The sequence below is a fragment of the Homo sapiens genome, chromosome 2 (genome assembly GCF_000001405.40).
Source record: "Homo sapiens chromosome 2, GRCh38.p14 Primary Assembly".
Lineage (NCBI taxonomy): Eukaryota > Metazoa > Chordata > Mammalia > Primates > Hominidae > Homo > Homo sapiens.
In genome coordinates this window covers 232,906,754-232,928,231 of record NC_000002.12, presented here as the reverse complement: position 1 = coordinate 232,928,231, position 21,478 = coordinate 232,906,754, and the positions used below count along the sequence as shown (strand labels likewise).

At 45.6% G+C, this 21,478-nt stretch overlaps 1 protein-coding gene across 4 annotated transcripts in view; it reads left to right on the top strand.

Annotated features, from left to right (window-relative positions):
- Positions 1-21,478, top strand: part of NGEF (neuronal guanine nucleotide exchange factor) — a 134,556-nt gene that overhangs the window by 85,025 nt on the left and 28,053 nt on the right. For 3 of the 4 annotated variants that reach the window (NM_019850.3, XM_011510923.4, XM_047443880.1), the window contains 2 exons: positions 1,046-1,188; positions 7,647-7,948. In NM_019850.3, coding sequence (NP_062824.2) covers positions 1,046-1,188; positions 7,647-7,948 — 445 coding nt within the window. Of the gene's footprint in view, positions 1-80; positions 340-1,045; positions 1,189-7,646; positions 7,949-21,478 lie in introns of those variants that run through there. The other variant, NM_001114090.2, reaches the window with a different exon arrangement.

The window sequence follows — 21,478 nt, the reverse complement described above, 5'->3', positions numbered from 1 at the left end:
CCCCGCCGCGCGCGCCCCTCCCGCCTCCCTCGTTGCCGTGGCAACCCCGGGAGCCTCCAGGCGCGCGCCCGCCCGCGGGAGTGCTCGGCAGCGGTGGCGGCGGCGGCTGCAGCTCCGGTCGAGCCGCGCGCGCTGCGACCCCGCTCCGCAGCCCGCTAGTCGCCCCCGACCCAGCCCAGGGCCCCGGCGTGGCCCCCGACCCGGCCCCCGCACCCGCCCCGCCGCCGACCCTATGGAGCTGCTGGCCGCTGCCTTCAGCGCCGCCTGCGCCGTGGACCACGACAGTTCCACCTCGGAAAGCGACGCGCGCGACTCGGCGGCGGGACACCTGCCCGGCAGGTGAGGACGGGCGCCTGTCCCGGCCCCGGCGCGCCGCCCCCGCGTGCCTCTTTCCCAGCTTGCGCCCGGGGTCCCGGGCACCCCCTGCGCGGCCTATCCCCACTCCTCCTCCGCGGGCCCCCGCCGCCCCTACTCCCACCCCCGGGCCCCGTCGGGCCCGCACCCCATCGGGTGGGTGTTGAGCCCCGGCCCGGGCCCCTGGGACCCCGGTCCCTGCCCGGAGTCTCCTCCAGCGCCCTCGTCCTGGGCGCCCTGGTCGTGCGCGTCCCGCTCGGCATCCCCTTTCCGCGCCGTGTGGCCTGGGGACGGGAGGATCGGAGTCCGAAAGGGGCCGGGGGTCGAGTGACGGCGAGGGGCGCCGAGTGGCTTCCTGGCCGCGGGACCCGTCGGGCTGTCGGAGCGGCGCCGGAGAGTGGGCACGGTGCGCCAAGTTTCCACCGCCTGCCCGGGAGCTCCAAAACCATGGAGGTTTGGGCGGGCTGGTGTGGAAATGCATCACCCGGTCGCGCCCTGGTGCGGTGACAGAAAGGGCTTTTGGGGCCCGCCCGGCCGGGAGGGGCGGCGCTGGCTGCGGCCGCTGCCCCTGGACGGTCCCGGGTAAGGTCCGGCTGGCTAGCAGCCGCCTGTGCGCACGCCCCTCGCTAGCCAGCCGAGGTGAATCCTTGCTTAAAAATAACCAGCCCCTGTCCTCCTCCCTCTCTGGCAGTGAGTCGTCCTCCACCCCGGGAAATGGGGCCACGCCCGAGGAGTGGCCGGCCCTGGCCGACAGCCCCACCACGCTCACCGAGGCCCTGCGGATGATCCACCCCATTCCCGCCGACTCCTGGAGAAACCTCATTGAACAAATAGGTGGGTGTCTCCGCAGTAACCGGGTTTTATTTGGGAAACGCGGGTCCCTGGAGGACTCTGAGGGTCCTCCTGCTCATGGGATGCCGTTGTGTTTCATACGAAGGACTGCGTCTGACATGGGTAAGGAAAGCTTTTGACATGTTTGGCTCTAAATGGTTCCGCAGGCAAAACTGCTGCATTTTAATAGCGCTGCACAAGTGGGCTTTAGCAAACATTTCTGTCCTGCTCTCTGCGGAGAGGTCTATTTGCCCAGCTCTTGTCTGGTGGGAGGGCTCTCTGACCCCTTATCACTTCTGCCAGAAAGAAGGGATGAAGCAGCGCGGCTGAGCTGTGCAGCGGGGAGGACTCCACTATCCCCCATCAAGGAAGACCTGGAAGCCAAACCGGCTGTTGGGAGCAGAGTTGGGCTAGAGGAGGAGGCGTGTGAAGGGGGGTTCTGGGAAAAGCCTGGTGCGATTCAAGAAGAGGAGGCGGTGGCCAACTTTGCACAGGGAAAGGAAAGGCGAAGTAGGGAGGAAGCAAGAGCCCCAGAGGCCCTTGGCTTAGGAAGGGAAGCCTCTCCAGGAATATGGCCTGGAAGGGAAGCCGAGGCTCAGCCTGTGTGGTCCAACTGCTACACAGCTGCACCTGAAGCACTGTGAATAGGGAAAATGGATTCAAATAGTGACCCAAGAACTTCAGTACTTGCATTAAAAAAAAAAAAAATCGCTAGTGACATCAAGCTAGTTCTCATGTCGTCAGGAGAGGCACCCGTGAATGAATGATATAGGTTCCCTTACTCTGAAAATGGTTCCAGAAGTCTTTTCGTTCTTCATTGTTGTCAGAGCAGCCGACAGTCTATCTGTTAAATAAAAATTCTAGGTTTGGAAAATTTCTTCCCTAGATATATAATTATTGTCCTCCAGTCCCAAATGCTTGGACAGACAGGACGTGTCTCCAGTGGGGAAGTGGAGCTTCCATCGCCACCGGAGACCCCGTGCTTGGGAGACCTTTCCCGGGCAGCCCACTCTTCCCTGGCAGGGATCTTTCTAAACTGAGCCCGGAGAGGAGCTGAGCCCTTGTGAAGCTGAGGGGGTGGAGCGCACACTGCATGCTGTTAAGCCGCGCTGACTCCGGAATTTTGTTCCCAGTGGGCCCCCTCCACGTGTCAGGCTGGGTGGTGGTGGTGGTGGTGGCTTTTCCCTTTGTTTGCTGAGGGAATGGAGAGGGGCTGATCTGAAACTGATGCCACATAGAAAATCCTTATTTTAAAACAAAGGCCCCTGACAACCGCTTTCTTCCAGCTCTGCCACGCTGCCACATCTGACTTAGCATATGCTGGAGACTTTGACCTCCACCCTCTTGAAAGGGCTCCTCTTTGGCTAAGATCAGTGTCACTACCAGGAAAGACATCCAGGTTGGGGAGGAGATCGTGCCTCCCTTCTGCACTGTGGGTGTGTGGAGCTGTCTTTCTTGGAGACGGCTGAACCTGCTGGGCTGGTGGCAGAAGTCCGAAGCCGGCTGGCAGGGTCCCGAGCTCTAGTGCCTGGTCGTTTGGGGCGTCACTGTGCTCATCTGGGAAGCAGCAGGGCATCTGATGTTCTGAGTCTTTCCTCCTGCTACCCCCTGCAGGTGTCTGCTGGTGTCCTGGTGAATGTCTTTTCCTGGCTCCTGGGCCTGACCCATAGTAGCTCAACAGAGTGTTGACTGACAGCCCAGGGCTGCCCCCGCCCTCTTCTCACCTGTCATAGACTTGAGGTCTGTGCTAAGCGGATCCCTGCAGCAGCCCAGCTGCCTTCAGCTCTGTGAGTTCAGCAATTCTTTGCCAAGTGTTAGGAAAGGATGGCAGCTTCCTAAGATGATTAATGGGGAAGGAAAGCAGGATGAAGGCTCCAAGTGGAGCCTGCCAGTTCCACTTGGAGGTAATTGCAAGTGCAAGCCTTTACAGGTAAAGTTTATTTCCATTTAAAGTTGTGCCGACTAAATGTACAATATATAAAATAGGAAAGCCTGATCTATTGACAGTACATTGACTACAGAAATTTAATATGTTAATATAGTTCGTCAGGTAAAGAAAACTTATTCGTTTTGTAATCTGAATTTAAGGCAAATAAAAATGAAAGGTTATGAGAAATGGTTACACACTGTATCAGGTAACTGTGTAACACAGTAACTCCAGAAACACTGGTGTCTAAATTTGTATTCTAAATACCCCAGAAAAAAGTATGAAGTTTTAAGAAGACTCTAAGGTTACTTGTATTGATAGTCTTTGGCTGCAGGTAACAGAATATCTAACAAAAAGTGCTCTTAAGCAACAAAAGTGTCTCATCTCAGTTAATGAGTCCAAAGGTAGGAAGTTCCAGAGTTGGTTCATTCAGCCAAACAGTCACCTGGCTGCTTTGCCTCCTCCAGGTGGGCCTTGTGTTACAAGATGGCTGCCATAGCTCCAGGCATCACATCCTCAGGGAGCCATGTGTGAAACAGGAAGGGCAGTTTGTCTTCAAGTGTCTGTTGGGGAGGGACAGCTTTTTGACAAGCCTTTAGAAGATGTGCCCTTACTCTCCTTGGCCAGTATCTTAATCTGTTCCAGTTGCTGTAACAAGATACCATATACTAGATGGCTTATAAACAACAGAAGTTTATTTCTTACAGTTCTGGAGGTTGGGAAGTCCAAGATCACGGTGCCAACAGATTCAGCGTCTGCTGAGGGCTGGCTATCTCTGCTTCAAAGATGGTGCATCCTTTGGTGCATCCTCACAGGACGGAAGGGGCCAGGCGGCTGCCTTCCACAGCTTTTTAAAAATGTATTTATTTATTTATTTATTTTGGGGATGGAGCCTCACTCTGTCACCCAGACTGGAGTGCAGTGGCGCAATCTCGGCTCACTGCAGCCTCCTCCTCCCGGGTTCAAGTGATTCTCCTACCTCAGCTTCCTGAGTAGCTGGGATTACAGGTGCCTGCCAACACACCCAGCTAATTTTTGTATTTTTAGTAGAGATGGGGTTTCACCATGTTGGCCAGGCTGGTCTCAAACTCCTGATCTCAGGTGATCCACCCACCTTAGCCTCCCAAAGTGCTGGGATTACAGGCATGAGCCACTGTGCCCGGCCCTTTCCACCTCTTTTATAAGGGAAGGCATGAATCCCTCTCACGGAGGCAGTGCCCTCATGTCTTAGTCACTTTTCAAAGGCCCCACCTCTTAAAACTCTCACATTGGGTATTAGGTTCCAACATACGAATCTGGGGGGACACCAGCACTCACACCACTGCAGCCAGGCTATGCCTTGTGCCTGTGTCTAACCCACTACTAGCAAGGGGCAAGGAACTGTCATGGTAGGTTTTTGCTTTTTCACCCAAGCTGGTGTGAAATGGCACAATCTTGGCTCATTGCAACCTCCACCCCCTGGGTTCAAGTGATTCTCCTGCCTCATCCTCCCGAGTAGCTGGGATTACAGGCACCTGCTACCACACCTGGCTAATTTTGTATTTTTAGTAGAGACAGGATTTCCCCATGTTGCCCAGGCTGGTCTCGAACTCCTGACCTCAAGTGATCTGCCTGCCTCGGCCTCCCAAAGTGCTGGGATTACAGGCGTGAGCCACTGCACTGGGCCTTGTGGTAGGTTTTGATCAGTCAACCTTCACTCACTTCTCTGAGCATAGAATGGGTCAGCACTCAAACAGAAGCCCTCCTCTGCCAACCGGGGAGAGGGGCATGAGGGGGTGCAGGAGAGGCAGTCAATAGCGTCTGCCATGGGGTGACTTCAGAACTATTCTTTTCAACCCAGCTACCCACAATGCTGATATTTTTGTCTCTTTTCAGCATATGTATCACAGTGAGATGTTCAAGATAGTATTCACCCATGATTTGCCGACTATAGCACACATAAGACATATTTTTGAGCCTTCAAAAATATGCCAAGTGAGACACTTTTGTGAAGCTTGGAAACTGCTTTTTTGTTGTTGTTGTTGTTGTTTGTTTTTTGTTTTTTTTTCTGAGATGGAGTTTCGCTGTTTTCGCCCAGGCTAGAGTGAAGTGGCGCGATCTCAGCTCACTGCAACCTCCGCCCCCCAGGTTCAAGCTATTCTCCTGCCTCAGCCTCCCGAGTAGCTGGGATTATAGGCACCCGCCACCACACCCGGCTAATTTTTGTATTTTTAGTAGAGACGGAGTTTGGCCATGTTGGCCAGGCTGGTCTCGAACTCCTGACCTCAAGTGATCCACCTGCCTCAGCCTCCCAAAGTGCTGGGATTACAGGCATGAACCACCACACCCAGCCTTGGAAACTGCATTTTTAAAAGGTGTTCAACAAGTAGTTGAGTACCTATTATGTAGGAGACGCTGCACTATGCATTGAAAAGTGAATCCAAGTCAACCTGTGAAACTTGGTTTCTTTAAACCTCTGTAACCGCAGTGCAGTGTCAGAATCATAGGATGGTGATAGCTTGACGTCGCAATAGTCGGCCTACCTTATACTCGTTATTGAACTGATGGAGGTGGTGACGTCGGACCTGTCTTTATAGATCTTCAGTCAGGGTTGCATTTAGCTTAGAGTTGGATTTTCTTTTTTATTCCTTTGTCGAATCAACTCCATGTTGTATCCGGCTGGGTTGCATCGTTGGAAAAGCACGGGCTCTAAGCTTGCTGAAGTGGATGCTCTGGTTACCTTGGCAGAAAGGCTTTGTAATTTGGAGTTATAGAGCATGGAAACCAAGTCATTTAATCCATAGGGCGGCCTTACTAGCTTCCTGTTCATGAATATAATTTCTCCAGCCTCATTCAGGATTTTGAAGGTGGTCTGTTTTTCTTTTCTTCCTTTTTCTACAGTTTAGATATGTTTAACAATTAGATAAAGAAGGAATAATAGCTAACAGTTGTACTGCGTTGTAAGAGCAAGTGCTTGTCAAGTGGTATATTTATCCTTATTGCAACTTTCTGGGAATCATCTTTGTCTCATAGTTAGACATATCGAGGGGCCTCGGCCACTATCCCAAGTGCCAGACCAGGACATCCTGCTGCTCATGAGGCCTCCACCTGGGTGCCTGGGTACATCTCGATCCACCCCACCCCAACGCCACCCTCAGCCGGACCCTCATCTCCTCCAGTGGGGCCTCTGGTCTCTGCCGTCCCACTGGTCACCTGAATGTTATTCTATCTTGTAACTGTCCCCGAATCAGGCACTTGGCTTCATCCCCTTCCCAGTCCTTCAGTGCAAGCCTCCGTCCTGGCTCTCCCAAGGAGCTGCTGCAGCCCGTTTCTCCCAGTCTATGCTTGTCAAATGCAGACAGGACCAGGCACAGGGGTTCACGTCTGTAATCCCAGCACTGGGGAGGCTGAAGGGAGAGGTATTCAAGACCAGGAATTGAGGCTTGAGGCCAGGAATTCAAGACCAGCCTGGGTAAAATAGCAAGTCCTCATCTCTACAAAAAAAAAAAAAAAGAGGAAAAACTAGCCGGCCATGGTGACACACACCTGTAGTCCTAGCCACTCAGGAAGCTGAGGCAGGGGAATCACTGGAGCCCAGGAGATGGAGGCTGCAGTGAGCTATGATTGCACCACTGCCCTCCAGCCTGGGTAACAGAGTGAGGCCCAATCTCAAAATAAATTTTAAAACAATAAAATGTAGAACAGAGTGTGTTTGCTCTGTCTAGCCCTTGCGCTTGGGCTAGACTCCTGCCTCTGTGGCACCATAGACAAGACCCTGGGGTCTGACCCCTTTCCTCCCAGCCTGCAGCAGGCAGGATTACCCCTCACCATCCCACCCAGCCACGGCAACCCCCCAACCCCAACATGGCTGCCTGTGCAGAGAGGAAGTCCCTGTGTCCCAAGGCCAGGACATCAGAAATGGGGTTATCCCTTTGGAGGTGCTACATTTGCGCTGATTCAGCTGCGCCCCCAAATCGCCTAAGAGACTGGAAAGCATTCATTGCAAGTACAGTTGGTCAGTGAAGTCTGCAACTGTGAAAGCAAAAAAGGGAATGTTTCCCTTTTTAAATCATAAGATTGATGAAATGCTGATTTTTCCTTCAAAATGAGAATTTATAGCTACTCCCACTGCACAAATGAATATTCCTGAGTTTGAATATTGAAACGTTGAGGGCTATGGAAATTACCCTGCTGGGATAATGAGACACAGTTGGGACATTCCCATCAACTTGGTGGTGGGTGCATCAGGTTCTAGGTTCTTGTTTGCCAAGTGTGTGTGGGGAAAGCATATATTGGATTTTGAGTCCATTCGGGCATTTCTTTATGTTTTGGGGAAAAACATAAGCATGCTGGTCTTTCCCAAGAAATGAGGACGATGGCAGTGTATCCCGTGGCCTGGAGCCTGCCGCTGAGATGGGTGCAGGGCTGGCTTGCACTGTGTATTCCTGGACACAGCAGCCACCCTTGATAAGAACACGAAGCCTTGACTTAGGGATTTCTAATGATTGTCATCTGAGATCTTTTCCTTTTCTTTTTTACAACTCTTTGATTTCAGGGCTCCTGTATCAGGAATACCGAGATAAATCGACTCTCCAAGAAATCGAAACCAGGAGGCAACAGGATGCAGAAATAGAAGACAATACCAATGGGTCCCCGGCCAGTGAGGACACCCCGGAGGAGGAAGAAGAAGAGGAGGAGGAGGAGGAGCCGGCCAGCCCACCAGAGAGGAAGACTCTGCCCCAGATCTGCCTGCTCAGTAACCCCCACTCAAGGTTCAACCTCTGGCAGGATCTTCCCGAGATCCGGAGCAGCGGGGTGCTTGAGATCCTACAGCCCGAGGAGATTAAGCTGCAGGAGGTAACAGGCGCCGAGGGGCGGGGGCTCCCCCACAGCACACCGGGGTGGCCCTCACTGCTGGGGGTGAGGCTTCCTCTGGGGGGTGAGGTTCCCTGGCTGGTTCACCAGAGGAATCGCTGGCAGGGTTGTCCATCTAGAACATGCAGAAAAATAAACATGGTTTCACAGGCAGCAAGAGACACCCAGCTACCTTCTAGGACAGCTCACCCCCAACATTGAGCGTCTGAAGCATTGCTGTCTGATGAGATAGTAGGATCGCAGTTTTTCCACCCTTCATTATCATCATTGTGTATTTCCGTCACGCGTGAATGCCACGGCACGAGGCACTGCTGAGCTCACTGTGACTATGCCATAGCTCCAGTTATCTGTGGTTGGCGGAGGTCTGCCATATCTCTTTGCATTCACGATCTTATCCCACCACTTTCTTTTGGGGCTGTCTGAACTTCGGATGAATGGGGTCTCTGAAGGAAGTCCCTCAGCTTGCCCATCTGCTCCTGAAATGCTGCAGAAATCTGGGATTCGTGTCTCTGGCCCCTTCATTTGATGGTTCAGGTGGACTTCGGTGACTATCAATTAGGCTGAGGCAAAATCGTTGAGTTGCTTGATGGTTTGTTGCTAGCAGGGAGAAATAATCAGTTAAAACCAGTAACAAATGAATAAGAAATTTAAGTGTTTGTTTTAGTGGAACAAAGATTATTTGAGTATTAAGGGAAAATTTGTGGTATAGAGAAACAAGCATATGGTCAGGAGTAAACAGGAAGAATGGTGGAGAGAAATTGTGAATATGCAAGTTTGTGTTAATTGTGAAATTTAAAAAGTAGGTACAGAAGGGAAAAAAAAAAGAGATTTGGTTTTTAATAAGCACTTTGTCCACCCAGTTCCATCATTTGTGTCCTCTTCCGCTCCGTCTCACTCCCACCGCACTCACCTGCATTCCTCGCGCTTGTCCAAGCCCATCCTTGTCCTTGTTTCTTGTGGCAGCTGTGGTTCCAAAAGTCCTGCCTTTCCCTACCCCCCGATATTCCTGTGCTAGATTCTATGGAAACATTTGCTCTTGTTTATTTAAAACATGAAACAGTAGCCTATATATACTATTAATGACCCAAACTGTGACTTGTTCCTGACCAGCATCATATACCTGAGACTTGGGTTTTGCGATGAATGGAGTTGCTACTAGGGAAGGCTTCATAAAAGTGGATTTTTGAAGGGCCACCTAGGCTTCACCTGGGTGTTGTGCCCAGTAGAGTATGGAAAATGTTTAGACTTTGACATCCTTCCTAACTTGTGAGCAGTGATTTGTAAATGGCTACATTGATTTATTTTTTAATAAAACTTCTGATGTGAAACTTAGAAATAAGACTGGGTGCGGTGGCTCACGCCTGTAATCCCAGCACTTTGGGAGGCAGAGGCTGGTGGATCACGAGCTCAGGAGTTCGAGACCAGCCTGGCCAAGATGGTGAAACCCAGTCTCTACTAAAAATACAAAAGTTAGCTGGGCACTGTGGCAGGCGCCTGTAATCCCAGCTACTTGGGAGGCTGAGGTAGGAGAATCGCTTGAACTCGGGAGGTTGCAGTGAGCCAAGAGCACGCCACTGCACTCCAGCCTGGGTGACAAATCAAGACTCCGTCTAAAAAAAAAAAAAAAAAAAAAAAAACTTAGAAATAAATCCTAGTAGAACCTAAACACATGTTAGAAACCTTTTACAACATAAGCAAAGCTAAAAGGAGAGAAAGGGCCCTTGTCATAAATGGAGAGCAAACAGTGAAGAAGCATGAAAAACAAACAGCACCAAATTAGTGGCAAATTTAACAGCAAACAAATCCGTTACAATAATGCAAACGGCTTACACTCCTCCATTAAAAGACAGAAATTCTTCAATTGAGGCTCGGTGTGGTGGCTCACACCTGTAATCCCAGCACTTTGGGAGGCCGGGGTGGGCAGATCACCTGAGGTCAAGAGTTCAAGACCACCCTGGCCAACATGGCAAAACCACATCTCTACAAAAATACAAAAATTAGCCAGGTAAGCCAGGCACAGTGGCTCATGCCTGTAATCTCAGCACTTTGGGAGGCCGAGGTGGGTGGATCACTTAAGGTCAGGAGTTCGAGACCAGCCTGGCAAATGTGGTGAAACCCCGTATTTACTAAAAATACAAAATTAGCTGGGTGTGGTGGCGCCCACCTGTAGTCCCAGCTACTCTACTCAGGAGGCTGAGGCAGGAAAATCCCTTGAACCCAGGAGGCAGAGGTTGCAGTGAGCCAAGATCGCGCAACTGCACCCCAGCCTGGGCCACAGAGTGAGGCTCTGTCTCAAATAAATAAATAAATAAGTAAAATAATTAATTAGCCGGGTATAGTGTCGGGTGCCTGTAGTCCCAGCTATTCAGGAGGCTGAGGCAGGAGAATCATTTGAACCCAGGAGGTGGAGGTTGCAGTGCGCCGAGATGGTGCCACTGCCCTCCGGCCTGGGTGACAGAGCAAGACTCTGTCTCAAAAAATAAAAATAAAAACAGAAATTATCCAATTGATTAGAAATCTAAACCCATTATATTATCAGACAGAGTAGAATTCAGGGCAAGAAAAATTACCCAAGTGAACAGAGTCATCTTGTTTTGTCATCTTATTCATCTACTAAAAATACAAAAAATTAGCCAGGCGTGGTGGCGGGTCCCTGTAATCCCAGCTACTCGGGAGGCTGAGACAGGAGAATCACTTGAACCCGGGAGGCAGAGGTTTCAGTAAGCCAAGATCTCACCGTTGCACTCCAGCCCAGGCGACAGTGCAAGACTCCATCTCAGAAAAAAAAAAAAAGAAAAGTTTTACAATTAAATACGTAACTCCTCTATGCACTTTCATTGTTTAAAAAAATACAAACAATGCAAATGTGTCCAGCCCATTTCTTGGATCATAGGTTTTCACTGGAGGACCAGCTTTATCTATTTTATCTCTCCTGATTAGACACAGCCATAATACACCATCTAATTTTGGAGTTTAGACACCTATGCAGACTAAGGGCAAAATCCTTATAGATTTTTACAGTGTTTTCCACTTCTTTTAGTTTTAGCACATTCAGTAGAAGCTTGGTTTTGGTGATGGTTTTTAGCAACTTGTCTTCCCTGGACTCTTCAGAGCTTTCAGCTCAGTTTTCATAAAAACAACTCCCTTTCCACTGAGAATTCACTGGTTTTTATCATTAAATGATACAACTGCATCACAGGTACCACTGGCTTGAATAAGTTCGAGGAATGCAAGTGACAGTGGGTGCATCCTCACCAGATGGGGAGAGAGGCGGGCAGGTGGCCTCTGCCCTGAGCGCCTGGTGGATCCTTGCACAGCCTGGCGGGTAGCAGAGAGTATGGGGTATTCAGCCAGTGGGTTGAGTGGAGGTTGCTCAGGAGAGTTTGTGTGTGCGAACATCTCTGTGCGCGTCTGAGACCAGCTGTAGCCTGGAAGTGGAACTGCTGGTCCCGAATGAAGTGCATTTTAAATGGTGATGGACTCTGCCCAATTGCCATTCAAAAAGGCAGTACAAGTGTCACATTGCTACCAGCAGTGCAAGAGCGGCCATTTGCACTCACCCTCCCTAGCCCTGCTGTCAAACTTCTAACCTGTTGGGTGAAACATTGTATCTTGTCTTACCCTGCCCGTTCTTGATGACTTGTAAATTTGAGCATCTTTTCACATGTTTATTGCCTGTTTCCATTGCTTTATCTATCAATGCCTGTTCTTATCTTTTCCCCCTTTTCTGTTGGGTTCTTTACATTTATCTTCTTGATTTGTAGCAGCTTTTTGTACCTTCTGGATATTAATTCTTTTTTTTAATATTTTCAAATGTTTTCTCCTGCACGATAATATAAGGGACGCAATTTGTGCACAGCCACTGGTGCCCAACTGCCTAGGTTTCTCAGCTCCGCTACTTCTTAGCTGTGTGACCTTAGGCAAATTACTTAACTTCTCTGTGCCTTATCTGTAAGATGGAAATCCTAGTACCTACCTCTCAGGCTTGTGCAGATTGAATAAATAACACAGATAAGGAGCTGAAGACAGTGCGTGGCAAAAAGCTGACATTATCAAGGGCTTATGTGCCCTCTCACTTGGTCCATGGCATCTTCTTTTTGGATAAAAATCCTTTTTCCATTTTGATAGCAAATCTTTCAGTACTTTCATTTATTTAAACCTAATCTTCGGATGTTGTGTCTTATGATTAGAAAGGCTGTTCCCAAGAGGTACACTTTACAGTGAAAAGGTAATGGCTGGGAACTGTTATGAACTAGACAAAAAGATAGAGCAGAAGGCAGGGCACAGAGGCTCTTGCCTGTAATCCTAGCATTTTGGGAGGCCAAGGCAGGTAGATCACCTGAGGTCGGGAGTTCGAGACCAGCCTGGTCAACATGGTGAAACCCCATCTCTACTAAAAATACAAAAATTAGCTGGGCGTGGTGGTGTGCGCCTATAGTCCCAGCTACTTGGGAGGCTGAGGCAGGAGAATCGCTTGAACCTGGGAGGCAGAGGTTGCAGTGAACCAAGATCACGCCACTGCACTCCAGCCTGGCAACAGTGAGACTCCACCTCAGAAAAAATAAATAAATAAATAGAGCAGAATCTGTCAGAAACAAGAGGAGACGTTGCCATGCGCACTCCACTATCCTACAGGAGTGGGACCCAGCAGGAAGATGGGGAATCAGAAAAAAATAATTAGGTTGGATGAAAAGATTTGTACTGAACTTTATACTCTCTAGAGCTGCCCTGCCCGCTCTGACAGCCACCAGCCACACGTGGCTGCTGAACACGACATGTAATGAATCCAGTTGAGATGCAGTGTGTGTGTAAAATGCACACCAAATTCCAAAGAATAGAAAGAATTGAAAGAGATAAATACAAAATTAAATGAACTTCTGAGATGCCAGCTTGAGACATTAGGGGAAAACACACAACAAACACTCCTAAGGAGAACAGAGAGGACAGAGATCCAAGAAGATACTATGCAAAAGTCTTGATAAGATGAATGATTAGAAAAAACAGATGAATGATTTTCTAGGAAAATATAAGCTACTACCAATGGAATCAAAAGTAAAAATTTTAAATACACAAAAATATACCAGTAACCCCAAAAAATCACCTACAGGAAAGATGTGGCACCCAGAGGACTCCTGTTCAAATCCCAGGAGAGCCAGGAGGGTCTGGGGTTACTTAGGCTGGCCTGCAGCAGAGCCGTCTGGTGGAATTCCCTGCCTTGATGAAAATGTTCTTTTTTTTTTTTTTTTTTGGAGATGGAGTCTTGCTCTGTTGCCCAGGCTGGAGAGCAGTGGCACAATCTCGGCTTGCTGCAGCCTCTGCCTCCCAGGCTCAAGCGATTCTTCGGCCTCAGCCTCCCGAGTAGCTGGGATTACAGGCGTGCACCACCACGCCCAGGTAATTTTTGTATTTTTAGTAGAGACAGGGTTTCACCATGTTGGTCAGGCTGGTCTTGAACTCCTGACCTCGTGATCCACCCACCTCAGCCTCCCAAAGTGCTGGGATTACAGGCGTGAGCCACTGCACCTGGCCAGAAATGTTATTTTGTATTTTATTATTATATTTTTTGAGACAGTCTCACTCTGTCACCCAGGCTGGAGTGCAGTGGCACAATCTTGGTTCGCTGTAACCTTAGCCTCCTGGGTTCAAGCAATTCTCGTGCCTCAGCCTCCCAAGTGGCTGAGACTACAGGTGTACACCACTACACAAGGCTAATTTTTCTATTTTTGGTAGAGATAGGGTTTCACCATGATGGCCAGGCTGGTCTCAAGCTCCTGAGCTCAAGTGATCTCCCTGCCTCAGCCTCCCAAAGTGCTGAGACAGGTGTGAGGCACCATGCCTGGCAATGATGGAATGTTCTACATCATGTCTCCAATAGTCACTAGCTCCGTGTGGCTACCGAGCATTTGAAACTGGTCAGTGCAACTAAGAAACTGAATGTTTAATTCCACCTGGTTTAAACAAACATCAGTTTAGCCACATGTTGCTACTGTGTTGATCAGCGTAAGTCTAGAGCAGAGATCATCAAACTTTCTGTTAAAGGGCCAGATAATAAATGTGTTAGGCTTTGTAGACCATACTGTCTGTCAGAACTACCCAGCTCTGTCGTTGTGGTGTGACAGCAGCTATAGACACTGTGTAAAGGAATGAGTGTGGCTGTGTTCCAGTAAAACTTTATTTACAAATACAAGTGGCCAGCCCATGGGCTGTAGTTTGCTGACCCCTAGTCTAAAGCATGGAAAAGAGAGAAATACACAAATTATCTGAACACAGTATAATATTGATAACCAAATCTGAAAATTAGGGTACAAACACAAAATTATTTTATTTTATTTTACTTTTATTTTTTGAGATGGAGTCTCACTCTGTTGCCCAGGCTGGAGTGCAGTGGCAGGATCTCGGCTCACTGCAACCTCTGCCTCCCAGGTTCAAGTGATTCTCCTGCCTCAGCCTCCCGAGTAACTGGGATTACAGGCACGTGCCACCACGCCCAGCTAATTTTTTGTGTTTTTAGTGGAGACATGGTTTCACTGTGTTAGCCAGGATGATCTCAATCTCCTGATCTCGTGATCACCTGCCTCAGGCCTCCCAAAGTGCTGGGATTACAGGTGTGAGTCACCGCGCCCGGCTACAAAATTATTTTAATCCACAATAATAATAGAAGAGTCTGTATATATAAATATAGTCAATATACAGTCAAGGACACTGTTCTGTCAGTAATCAGTAGAACTGGGAGACATAACATCTGTAAGGTTATGGAAGAATCGGCCACCATCAACCCAAAGGAACTAATAAACATTCCTAGAACACTCTACCCAACAGTAGCAGATTACACATTGTTTTCAAGTGCAAAAAGAGCTGTCACCAAGGTAAAGCATAACTCTCCTTAACACACTGAAAAGAATTGAAGTCATAGAAAGTATGTTCTCTGACCCTAATGGAATTACACTAGAAATCGGTAACAAAGATAACAGAAAATCTCCAAACACTTGGAAATTAACACACTTCTCAATAATCCCTGGGTCAAGGAGGAAGTTGCAAGGAGAGTTATAAATATTTTGAAGTGACTGAAAATGAATCCGCAGCATACCAAGTGGGATGCAGCAAAAGCAGTGTTTCGAAGGAGATTTATAGCATTATGTTTATTTAAGAAAGCAGATAGCTTTCAAAACAATAGCCTAAGCTTTCATATTAAGAAACTGGGCTAGGAAAAGAGCAAAACCAAAGCAAGTGGAAGGAAAGAAGTAATACATGTGAGAGCAAGAATCAACAACATGGGAAATTTTTTAAAATATAGAGAAAATCAGTGAAACCAAAATTGAATTCTTTGAAAAGATTAATAAAATTAATAAATCTCTATCAAGATTGACAAAAAAAGAGAAGATATAAATGACCAATATCAGAAACAAAAAAGGAGACATGATGAATCCTAGAGACATTTAAAGGGTAATAAGGAAATATTATGAACAATTCTACACACATACATTTGACAACTTAAATGAAATAGACCAGTGCCCCAAACTGAAAGCTACCAAAACTCACCCCAAATGAAATAAATAACCTGAATAGTCTTGTGACTGTTAAAGAAATTAATCTCTTACATAAAATCTTTCAAAATATGCCATCTGTAGGCCCATAAGTTTACAATGGTGAATTGTACCAACCATTTAAAGTAGAAAATAGTATCAATTTTCCCCATTCTTTTCCAAAATATAGAAGAAGGAATGCTTCCCAACTTTTTATAAGGCCAGCATCACCTGATAGAAAAATCAGAGAAAGACAGTATAAGAATAGTAAACTACAGACCAATATTCCTCATGAATGTATATTTTTAAATTCTCAGTAAGAAATATTAGCAATTCAAATCCAGCAATGTATAAAAAGAGCAATATGGCATGACTGAGTGGAGTTCATCCTGGGAATGCAAGGTTAGTTAAATATTTGAAAATCAGTCAATGTAACCCACCATATTAACAGTCTAAACAAGAAAAAAAAACTGCATGGTTACTACAACAATTGATGCACGAAAAGCATTTGACAAAATTCAGTATTCAGTCATCATTAAAATTTTCAGCAAAGGAGGAATACAAGGGAAACTCCTGGACCTGATAAGGCACATCTACCAAAAACCTATAGCAAACATCATACTTAATGGTGAAGGACTGAATGCTTTTCCCCTAAGATTAGGAACAAGGGAAGGCTGTCTGTTCCTTCACTGCTCCCATTCCTATTCAACATCATTGTGAAAATCCTAGCCAGTGCAATAAGGCAAGAAAAAGAAATAAAAGGCATATAGATTAGAAAGGAATAAGTAAAACTGCCCCATTCACAGATGACATGTTTACTTGAAACATCCCAAAGAATCTACCAAAAAAACCTCTTAGAACTAATAGTGATTTTTAGCAAGGTTGCCAGATACAAGGCCAACACACAAATATCAGTCATATCACTATATTCTAGCAATGAACAATTAGAAACAAATTAAAATTATACCATTTACAATAGCTGCCCTGAAAATGAAATAGTTAGGTATAAATCTAACAAAACATGGACAGGATCTCTGTGCTGAAAACCACAAATCAGTGAGGAGAGAAATCAAATAAAATGTAAATAAATCAAGAGACAAACTGTTTATGGATTGAAAGATTCAATATAGTAAAGATGTTAATTCTCTTCCCATATTTATCTATACATTCCATGCGACTCCAGTCAAAATCCCAGCATTTTCTGTGGTCATAGACAAAATTATCCTAAAATTTATCAGAAAAGGCAAGATAACTAGAATAGCCCTGAACAGTTTTCAAAAATAATAAAGCTGGAGGAGTCATACTATCTGATTTTAAGACAACTAAAAAGTTTACAGTAATCAAGGCAGTGGGGGTATTCATGAAATTACAGACACATAGATCAGTGGAACAGAAAAGAAAATTCAGAAATAAACCCACAACAAGTATGGTTGATTGATATTTGGCAAAACAACAAAAGCAAATTAATGGAAAAAGGACAGTCTTTTCAACAAATATTGAACATTGATGCTGGAACCATTGGATATATATATGCAAAAACATTAACCTCAACCTAAACCTCATGCCTCATAACAAAAATTAACTCAAAATGGATCATGGATCTAAATGTAAAATGAAAAACTTTAAAACTTTTAGAGGAAAACATAGGAGAAAACCTTCATTACCTGAGGTTAGCAAAGAGTTCTCAGATACAACACCAAAACCAATCATGCATAAACAAAAAAATGGATCAGTTGGTCTTGATCAGAGTTTAAAACTTCTGCTCTGCAAAAGACACAGTTAAGAGAATGAAAAGAGAAGCTACAGATGGGGAGGAAATATTTGCAAATTACTTAACTGATAAAGGACTTGCATCCGGAATACACAATAGAACTCAAAACTCAACAGTAAAAAAACAACAGTCCAATTTAAAAATGGTCAAAAGACTTAAATAGATACTTCACCAAAGCAGATATACAGAAGGCAAGAAAGTAATACACACTTGCTTAAAAAAGCTTTAAAATCATGGCAGTCCCAAGTGCTGGTGTGCACACACAGCAAACATTGCTAAAACTCTCCTACATGGCTGGTGAGGTCACAAAATGGTGCACCACTCTGAGAGCTAGTGGTTTCTTACCAAGTTAAACGTGCACTTATGGTACTACCCAGCAGCCCCGCCCCGTAGCAGTGTCTCATCAGTGGCGCTGTTGACTTTGGGGCTGGACAATTCTTTGTTGCAGGGGCTGCCTTGTGCATCACAGGATGTCTAGCACAGGGGTCCCCAACCCCCACCCCCATTACCCCCCCCACCCCCCACCTCGCCATGCAGCAGGAGGTGAGTGGCGGGTAAGCAACCAAAGCTTGATCTATATTTACAGCTGTATTTCTCATAGGAGTGAGAACCCTACTGTGAACTGCACATGCGAGGGATCTAGGTTGTGCGCTCCTTGTGAGACTCTAATTGCACCTTATGAAAATCTAATACCTGATGATCTGAGGTAGAACAGTTTCATCCACCCCCCTCCCACCCCTGGTCTGTGGAAGAATTGTCTTTCACAAAACCAGTCCCTAATGCTAAAAAAACTGGAGACCATTGGTCTAGCAGCATCGTTGGCCACTACCCACTAGATGCAACCCTCCCCCCAATCATGACAAGCAAAATTGTCTCTAAACCCAGCTGAATGTCCCCTGGAGACCAAAATTGCTCCTGGTTGGGAATCACCAAAGACTGGAAACAAGCCAAAGGTCCTTCAACAGATAATAGAAAATAAACCAGTACATCCATATGGTGGTGTGTACCATGCAATAAAAAGGAAGAAACTATTGATATGCGACAGCATCGATGTTTCTCAAAGGCATCTTGTTGAGTGAAAGAAAAAAGAAGGGTTACATACTGTGTCGTTCCATTTCTATGACATTCTGAAAGAGACCACACTAGTGGCAGAAAACAGATCTCATTGGCAAAGAGTGGTTTCCAGGGGTGAAGGATGCGGGGAGCATGGCAAGATGGGATGGTTGCCCAAGGGTTAGGTGTGGGGGGAGCGTGGGGAGACGGGATGGCTGAGGGGGTTGTGGGCAGTGTTGGAACTGTTGAGCATCCTGATTATATTGTGGGTTACACGAACCTGCAGATACGTTAGAATTCATAGAACTGTACACTCCCCAAAAGTCCACTTTTTACTGCATGATAATTTTATTATGCAGTAAAACATCAAAATGATTGAATATCTTCCATTTTATTGTGTTTGACCTAACAAAATAAGTGTTACCCCCTCCAAAAAATATTAAAACGCAGATCTGTCTCACCGTGAATTAAGGTAAAAAAAAATTACATAAAACATAAGCACATCAAATCTGGAGATAGATTAAATGAATCATATACATTAAGCAAGGATGAATTAATGCAAAGATAGTTTAATATTTAGATGTTTGGGGCCAAAATTTCATACTGCTAGGCCAGAGGAGAAAAATACACGGATCTTCAAAGAGGATGGAAAAGAAAGGAGTACACTATTACCATCTAGATAAAACTCAAAGGGATACTTTTTTGAGATTTATAAAGAAAATTTCAAATTTATAACAAAATCATACATAATAAAAAACTGTTGGTGGCAATAAAGGCAAGACACAGTGCCTGCTAACACGATTCAGTGTTGCCCTGGAAGCTCTATCCAGGGTAATAAGATGAGGAAAGGAGTAGGAGAGAAAGCCAGAAAGAAGGAATGTCTTTATCTACCGTTATCTACCAGTTACGGTTTCCTACTTAAAAAACCCGAGAGAATCAAATAAAAACACTGGACGTGATAAGGCAGTTCCCGGAGGTGGCTGGTTGTAAGATAAACATGCAAAAATTAGTTGTTTTCATGTATGTCAGCAAAACCCAGATTTCAGTCAATTAGAAAGCTGTCAATAAGAAAAACATGAGCACCCCAAAGAAAACTGGGCAAAGCAATTCACATTTTAAAAGTACAAATGGGTCAGATGAGAATACGTCCTGGCAATGAAAAAAAAAACAAAAAACCAAAAAAACAGCAACAAAAGCAAAAAAAGTACAAATGATGCAGAGTATGGTGGCTCATGCCTATAATCCCAGCACTTTGGGAGGCTGAGGTAGGAGGAGTGGTTTTAGCCCAGGAGTTGAAGACCAGCCTGGGCAACATCGCAAGACCCTATCTCCGCAAAAATAAATAAATGAATAAAATTTTAATACAAATGGCCAATGACTACATGAAAAAAGAAAAAAAATCAAACTCACTAAAATCATAAACGTATAAACAAGCAGCATTGAGGTACCATCTTCTGCTTCTCAAAATGACAAGAGACTTTTAAATATATATATTTAAAACCTAGTGTTGAGGGACTCTAAATGAGCACTTTCAAACACAGCTGATAAGAAGAGTATATTTGTATCAAAACCCCAGTAATAATATATTTGTATACTTTCTAGTGCTTCTATTTCTAGAAATTTATCTTGCAAAATAATCAGACATGTACACAAATATTTATTTATTAGCATGTTCATCCCAGCAAAAAGTTAGGGGAAGAATAGGGAGAAGAAACTTATATGCCCAATGGCAGGGAAATTGTTTAGTAAGACAATATACAGCTGTTTAAAGACGCAAACATTTTATTTGTTTTATTTTTTATTTTTTTTGTGACAGAGTCTCACTCTGTCTCCCAGGCTGGAGTGCAGTGGTACGATCTCGGCTCACTGAAGCCTCCACCTCCTGGGTTCGAGCAATTCTCCTGCCTCAGCCTCCTGAGTAGCTGGGATTACAAGCACCCACCACAACACCTGGCTAATTTTTTATATTTTTGGTAGAGATGGAATTTTACCATGTTGGCCAAGCTGGTGTCGAACTCTTGACCTCAGGTGTTGTCCCTGCCTCGGCCTCCCAAAGTGCGGGGATTACAGGTGTGAGCCACCGTGCCCGGCCCAAAGATGCAAACATTTAAAAACATGTTTTTAAAAAATGAGTAACGTGAATGTTCAAGATATATAAAGTTTTTAAAAAAGCAAAATAGAACATTTCATCTATACTGAGAAGGCATAGAAAATAAAGATTTTTTTTTTACTTTCTTTTATGCATGTTTGCAAATTCCAGTGAATCAGATGTAGATTTTTAAAAATAAATGAGGCTGACCTAACTGATGTGCAATCCAGTTACATTTCGTAGTTGAATAATGTGAGCACGCAGGCTTCAGTGTGTCACTCTGATTTTTTATCGTCTTTTTATGTTAAAGACCTTCATGTGCTTCCCTTTTGTTAATATCTGGTAACCGACACAAAACCGGGATCTTCAGATTGCATGTTCCAAATCAGTGACTTCTGTATCAGATCTTTTTTTCAGTCTATTTATCAAAGCAAGACAGGCAACTTGGACTGCCAGTACAATCTGTTGTCAGGAACTCTCTTTTTCTTTAGCTACAAAAGCAGCAGGTCGTGCTGAATTACTGTTCACACAAGGAAAACACCCTATAATGATGGCCTTTTGGTAGGCTTAATCAGTCACAGGGGAGCCAGGATTTCAGAACAAAATGCTATAGTATGTTTTCCTCCTTTTTTTTTTTTTTTCTTTTTTTTCTTTTCTTTTTTTTTTTTTTAATTGATCATTCTTGGGTGTTTCTCGCAGAGGGGGATTTGGCAGGGTCATAGGACAATAGTGGAGGGAAGGTCAGCAGACAAACAAGTGAACAAAGGTCTCCGGTTTTCCTAGGCAGAGTGTTTGTGTCCCTGGGTACTTGAGATTAGGGAGTGGTGATGACTCTTAACGAGCATGCTGCCTTCAAGCATCTGTTTAACAAAGCACATCTTGCACCGCCCTTAATCCATTTAACCCTGAGTGGACACAGCACATGTTTCAGAGAGCACTGGGTTGGGGGTAAGGTCATAGATCAACAGGATCCCAAGGCAGAAGAATTTTTCTTAGTACAGAACAAAATGAAAAGTCTCCCATGTCTACTACTTTCTACACAGACACCGCAACCATCCGATTTCTCAATCTTTTCC